At 51.0% G+C, this 7,140-nt stretch overlaps 1 long non-coding RNA gene across 1 annotated transcript; it reads left to right on the plus strand.

Moving 5' to 3' along the window:
• Positions 1–487: 487 nt before the first annotated feature.
• FAM95B1 (family with sequence similarity 95 member B1) lies at positions 488–6,137 on the plus strand. Its single transcript, NR_026759.1, has 5 exons — positions 488–1,002; positions 1,468–1,719; positions 1,806–2,009; positions 2,379–2,647; positions 5,835–6,137. It is a non-coding gene; the product is annotated as a family with sequence similarity 95 member B1 (long non-coding RNA).
• The last annotated feature ends 1,003 nt before the right edge of the window (positions 6,138–7,140 follow it).

Consider the following 7,140-nt stretch of genomic DNA (forward strand, 5'->3'; position numbering starts at 1 on the left):
GTGCTTTCCTCAGGCCCATTTAGGGAGGGGACTGGCTCCCAGCCTGGCACAGGTCCTCAGCTCTGCCTTGGTTGCCTTAGAGTGACATGGATCAGTCAGTGCCCTGAAGGTAAATGGAAGAGACTGTCCCTGCTGTGTGGGAGGCTGGTCTAGGGATGGAGGACTTGGCAGGTCCTCCCAGTCTGTCAGGCCTGGACAGCACTGTCCTGTCTCAGGACTCAGAAAATCCGGTCTTGGGATGGGACGGTGCTGCCCAGGGTGGGTGGCCAGGGCTTGACAGCAGTCCCCCAGGGAGTGACCACATCAGCCAACCAGGGTCCAGGGAGCCTGGCCTGAGACCCACCCAGTGCATTGAGGGTGCACCTGGAGCCCACCCCACCTGATGCCCCCACAGCCCTCGCAGGGCCTGACCTCCCAGCATGCACCTGCCTCTCCCTGCACCCCAGATGTCCACCCTGCCTTTTCCCTGATTTCCTCCATCCTGTCCAGCAGGATGGGCTGGTCAGTGGGATAGCCTCTGTGCACATTTTGTGGCAAGTAGGAGTGACACATCATTCCTGGGAGGCCCCGTGGTTCCTGCCAAACCCAACCCCAGAATTCTCCCTGAGGTGGTTTTACCAAACCCATAACCCAGAACTGCTATTGTGGTTTGGGGGTCAGCACCCACCAGTGCCAGGGCACTACTGGGAGGCTGGGACCTGACCAAAGCCCATGGTGTCTGTGGCCTGAGGACAGGGTGTCTTGGGGCCATGAGGACAGGCCACCAATGGCCGTTGGGTCATAGGGCCTGAGCCCCAGTGTTTGTCCTTCCCTGGCTCCTTCTGGTTCAGTCCCATCAGGGCTCTGGATCCCAAGACGCAGCATCCAAGGTTCCCTCCAGGAATCCTGGTGGCTCGGCTTACTTTGTCATGTTTCATCTGATAGCAAAAATATCAGATCGGCTGCACAGAAAAATGGCTCAAAGTGCTTAATGACCAGAAGAAATCTGGGAGTAGCAAGAAGGTAATGTGGAGAGGGGAGGACCTCCATGACTGGTGTCTGCAGAGCCAGGGGTACAGGGACCCAGTGCAGTGACCTGGCACCACCTGCCTCTCAGAGGGTGGGTAGCACACTGTCCTTACCTGGGGGACAGCAGGCCTGGTCACCGGCTTTTCTCCCTGTCCCTGCAAGCATCACATTGCTGGAAGAGAATCTCATGCCAGAGCTTGGACCATCCCTAGCTTGGGGGTTAGGGGTTGTCTCTTGGTGACCTAAATGAAAAAATAGGTCCAGATCAGAGTTCGTGATGCATAGCACTCACCCACTCTTTGAATCATGGGAGGGGAGGCCTAGTCCTAGGTAAACCTAAACTCTTTGAGGAACCACAGAGCCCAAGGCTGGAAACCTCCAGAATCCTCCAGCCCCTGATCCCCCCCCCCCCCGGGGACCTCTGTGGCCTGTCTCACCAGAGCACTCTTCTGTCTGTAGAGGTCTCAGGTGCTCTACAAGGGAGTCCCATTTCAGGTGTGGGGCTGGGTATGGTCACTCCTGCTGGATGTCTAGAAGGTGAAAACCAAGGACCTAGGAAAATACCAGATACAGCCTTTCCACCGTCATCCAGAGCAGGACAAACACGCCAGGTGGTGTCAGGAGCCCAGGTCTCCAGCTGGAGGGAATGTCAACCCTGCAGTGGGAGCCCATCATGCATCCTAGGCACAGATGCTAACGTAGGCACCGCAGGTAAGCTGGGTTTGGTACCCCTTCCTGGCTTCAGAAAGAAGCCAAACAAGGAGCTTTCTGCAGAATGAAACCTCTTTTCCATCCAGAAGCACTGCTGACTGTTTGGTGGTTGCTGTTAGGGCAGTGAGCCTTTTGTCCATTCTGAGATTAGGCTGGTTTCTCCTCTTGGCCCTGGCCTACAGACCATAAAGGAAAACAGCAAGAGGTCCCCAGCAAACATCTACAGATGGCCCTGGACATCAGCCACATTCAGAGAAACGTGTCATGTTCTGGGAGGGCTAAGGCATCGAGTAAGGCCTATGGGGCTGGAGGATCACAGGGCAGGTGGGGCAATCCAGAGCTGTGGGGGCTTCCATGGGAATTGGGAGGTCCCAAGGCAGAGGTAGGGGTTCCACAGGAGGAGTCACAGAGCCACCAAGGGCTCTCCTGGCCCAGGGAGCAGTCAACACCATGGACTGAACACCCACTGGGCTAAGCCCTGGGCCAGGCTGGGGCATGTGGGGCCAGGAGGCAGCTCAGAGTGGGAGACAGAGAGACAAGTGTGCTCAGAGGGCACCCATATCTGCATATAACGTGGTCCTGAATTTCTGGCTGGGAAGTGCTTCCAGGGTTTCATATGTGTTATGGAGATGCTTCCTCTCTCCAACCTCACCGTGCAGGAATCCCAGTGAATATATTGCCACCATCTTGGAGCTCAGTGCCCTCATAGTGTAACAGCACCAGCAGATCTGCCTGTGCACAGACTTCCTGTACTACCTCACTCCTGAGGGGAGATGCTTCTGCAGGGCCTGCGACCTGGTGCACAACTTTAGACACCATCATCCTGGAGCGGCACTGCACCCTCACTAGCCAGGGTGTTGATGACTTCCTCAATGCCAAGGCCACGTTCAAGATTTTCGACTTCAGTGATGCGTTTGTGCTGAGCAAGGTGGGCTTCTCCGGGATCTTAATTCAGGAGGTAGAATGCAGCTTGAGATCTAGTGTCTGATCAAAGAACTTGAACTTGACCTGGAGGGCTCTGGGGAGCCATGGAAGGTGCTGGATAAAGGAAGGGACAGTCATATATATTTTAGAGATGACTGTGGAAGGCTGCCTGGAAGGAGTGAACAAGAGCCAGGAGACCAGGGAGGGAGTTTGTGGGGCAGGTCTGGAGATGGCAAGGGAGGGATCCTGCTTGGATGAAAGGTCTTCAGGGACTGTCTCAGGTTACACTCAGGTGCCCTCAGAGCTACTGTGTTCAGGGTTCTTGTCTCCAGGATGAAAATAAGGAGGAGTTGTCAGACAAGGACATATACATGGAGGCTGGCATCTTCATGAGTGCCAATCGTGGTCCTGGTGTGGACTACTGTGGGAGCAGGGGTCTCTCCATCCAGGGACATGGTGGATGGACCCTACATCACTCCATTCTGCCCTTCCTTTCCCTCCCATTCTCCTGAGGGACTCAATGCATGGGCACTGTCCAACCTCTGGTGCTGAAGCAGCCAAGAGACCCAAGCCTGCCTTGCTGCCACTTAGGATATGACAGCACAGCCAGTGGCCTCTACTGGATCCTGGTACCCCTCAGAAGACACCCAGACACTGGGAGTGCTGCCACCTCGTGGTGCAAGAGTTCTGAGGGACGGCAATTCTGAAGACATTGAATGGTGGGTGCTGGGCCTCATGGCTGTTCCCCAGCCCCTCTCATTGGCTCTGCTCCAGGTGGAGAAGGGGGATGATGTCTCTGTCAGTTCTGCTGTTTTAGCCTAGAAGGAAAAGAAGCAGAGCCCAGAAGCAGGGCCTGGTACCCAGCCTGCCTAACAAGGGAGAATTTGTAGGCTTTGTGGACAGAAAGATCTGGGACTCCATGTCACCCACTAACTTGCTGAGACATTAGTAAAATCAGTTTTCTTTTCTGAACTATGTTTCTGTCATCTGTACATTGAGAGGAATTTCTTTTACTCCACGAGGCTGCTTGGAGAATTAGTGACAGTGTGTGTAGAGCATGTGCCACCCAGCAGGCATTTGGTGTCGAGACCACACCTCCTCCCCCTTCATTTTCAGCCTAAATTTGCATTTTGTTCTTAAGACTTTCACTCGCCTTAATTTTACTCTTTCCTCTGATTCCCACCTTATCGTCTATCCCATGGAGTCACTAGGATCTAAGTGGGTAACAGTCATGTATGCATGTATGTGTATGTACGTATATACTTTGTTGGTGTTGGAGTGTGGTGTGTGAATGTGTGTGTGTGTGTGTGTTGGAGTTACTGGGTGACTGAAACTGTACACATCAGGCTGTGGTTCTGCCCATTGCTGGAAGCGCTGTCAGGGGTCCTGCCCTCAACCCCAGGTCTGACCCTTGCAGCGCAGGCAGGACATTCTGGAGGAATCATGCCCTTGGGAGGATCCCTGAGGAGTGACTGGTGGGTATTGGTGGATAAATACCCCTGGTCCCTTGCTCTGGGTATGATGACTCTGAAGCACATGTTCTGTGCTGTCTCTCAGAGGTACCTGGCAGGGCTGAGTCCTGGCTGCCACAGTGGAAACTTTCTTGATGAAGGTCCCTTTAACTGCTGCATTCCTTTCCTGTCTCAGTTCCCCACTCCTCCACTGATGTTTCCTGGGATTAGCACCCTAAGGAAGAACTGGCAGTCGAATTAATATCCTAGCGTTATCTCCAAACAAAATTTTTGTATTTGAATCTTTGCCTCAGGATCTACTTCCAGGAAATTCAGACTAAGACACACATTTTTCTTTTGGCTCCTTGAATCCCCATAGGCCTGACATTTTGCTGTTTTTATCAAAAAGGAACATGAGGATCAGAGAGGGAAAGTCACTTGCCCAAAGTCACCCAGCTGAACAGTGGTAGAGTTCAACTTTGATCATGAGATGTCTGGCCCCCAGGTGGAGGCTTGCTCCTCTCCCATGAGACTCCTTCCTTATCAGGGTCAAATGAATGAATGGAGGATGTTAAAAGTGGGGTCTCTGATGCCTTTGCCAGATAAACCCCAGGCTCATGGCTGGCGCCTGTTTTCTCATTCTTACCTCATTAAGAGTAGTAATGAAAAACATGCTCAGTGCTGACCGTGTGCCTGGGGGTGTTGTAGGCACTCCACTTACTTTAATTCATTTAATTTTCACAATAACCTTGTTTTTACTTCTAGTTGTTATATGAAAAAACTGAGGCAAAGAGCAATACAGAGAGTTGCAAAAATTCATACCGCTGGTCCAGGTTTGAACCAAACAGTCTGCACCTGGAGTCCTTGTTTGTAACCATGGCACCCTGTCTTCACACATATCTCATCGTGGAGTTCCATCTTGTGTTAGGCATGGCACTGAGCAGCTTCTTTTAAGAACATAATTTGTAGCCAGGCGCAGTGGCTTATGCCTGTAATCCCAGCACTTTGGGAGGCCGAGGCGGGCAGATCACGAGGTCAGGAGATCCAGACCATCCTGGCTAACTTGGTGAAACCCCGTCTCTAATAAAAACACAAAAAATTAGCTGGGCATGATGATTGGCGCCTATAGTCCCAGCTACTTGGGAGGCTGAGGCAGGAGACTGGCATGAACCCGGGAGGTGGAACTTGCAGTGAGCCGAGATGGCGCGACTGCACTCCAGCCTGGGCGAGAGAGCAAGACTCCATCTAAAAAAAAAGAAAAAAACATGATTTGTAATTATGTAAATTACTAATTCTACTTCAAAGTGCCACACAGCCTTCATGTGATAAAATGAAGCAATTGGTAAGTCTAAGCATTGAGAAAAAACATTATTTTTCCCAGCTCCATTGCAACAGTTGGGACAGTGTTTTCTCTGTGCCTATAGAAACCTCAGCTAGTGTGCCGAGGAGTCTGGTCCCTTTGGGGAATGTGGCAGTCAGGTTCTGGCAGGGACCTCGAAGTGGCTGGTAATGTCTTTCATTACCACCACCACGTGACCTGGTCTTACGACCTGTTAGCTTCCTTCATCAGGCATGAGCACCAGGATGGCAGGGGCCTCATCTGTCCTGTTCCTCCTGTGGCCTGGGTCCTAGCACCATGTCTGGTACAGTGTAGGTGCTCAAGGGAAGTTTACTTTATAGAACTGTCTACCTGGGAGATGTTGCTGTTAGTCTAACCTGTACCATTTTGTAAACCTGCAGCCGTTTTGCACACCCTGGTCAGAATGAAACATTCCTTGGGAACTCGGGCCGTGAGAAGCATCCTTCCTGATCACCTGACTGTAGAAACATCCTTATCGCACCCTCCCGGGCAAAGGCCCAACAGCCTGACTGCAGGAACATCCTTGCCATATCCTGCCGGGCAGCAAGCTCTACCGCCCACACCCCTCCTTCCCAGTCCCATGATCACCCCAGCCTGTGAGAGGCAGTTGGTGCTGGCAGTAAGCTGGTTTCCTCCTCTGCAGGGTTTTGCTAGTAATAAAGGTGTTGCTGTTGAAGCCGTCAACTGTCTTTCTCTGTCTTTCTTTAACCCTTGCCTTGCCTTCAAAATCTAACAATAGCTCTACCTCTCCATTTTACCAAGGAGGATATGAGACTCAAGGAGAGCAAGAGACTTACCCAGAATTACAGAGCCAGTGAGTCACAGAACTTGAACTTGAGCTCAGTTCAGCTGAATCCAGAACTCATGTCTTCCTGAGAGTCCAGGGAAGGAAAGGTGGAACTGCAGCCAGTGGGTGCCCACAGGCTTGTCCTAGGAGACCACATGCAGCCTCCTGGGAATTGTGTCCTCTTGGGCACAAAAGAAGAACTGTTCACCTGTGCTGCATCAGCTAAGTGTCCCCATTGTCCCAAATTGTTGTATTTTTTCAAAGTTTCATTTTAGTAACTAGATTTCTCACAGCTCAGTGTTGAAAACAAAGCACAGAGGCATATAGAAAGCCGTGTTTGGGTTTTTCTCATTTTTTTCCCAGTGACTATACAAATGAATGTACAAAAGAGCACAAATACGCTCATACTTTTTATATAGAGATGAGGCCCCCCCCACTCATATTCCTCTGCCACTACCCTTCCTTTTTTTTTTTTTTTTTTTCTTTTCATGGGAGGACCTGTCTTTCAATACTAGTCCATGTGATTTGGGAAGGCTGACCCACCCTGGGCAATCAGATCAGCAGGGTAATTGATTCAGGAGTGGTCATGTGATCCAAGCTGGGCTCATGGAAGTCATCCCTGAACTTCTGATGAAACTGCTGGGAATGAGGTGCTTACTTTTTATTGGCATATCTATTTGTAAGGAAGTAAGTGATGTGAACTTTATGGGGCCATTTTTGCTGCTCTCTCAAAACAGCTTGCCTGAAAAGCAGAGCTGACACAGGAAATGAAGGGACAGAATGAGCCTTGGTTGATATTAGTTGACCCCTGATCCCACTGAGACAGAAGCCCATCTACTCATGTACATTTTTAGTAAGTAAAGCCAAATAATTCAATGTTCTGCTGGATCCAGTTAGGT

The sequence above is a fragment of the Homo sapiens genome, chromosome 9, assembly GCF_000001405.40.
Source record: "Homo sapiens chromosome 9, GRCh38.p14 Primary Assembly".
Classification (NCBI taxonomy): Eukaryota; Metazoa; Chordata; class Mammalia; order Primates; family Hominidae; genus Homo; species Homo sapiens.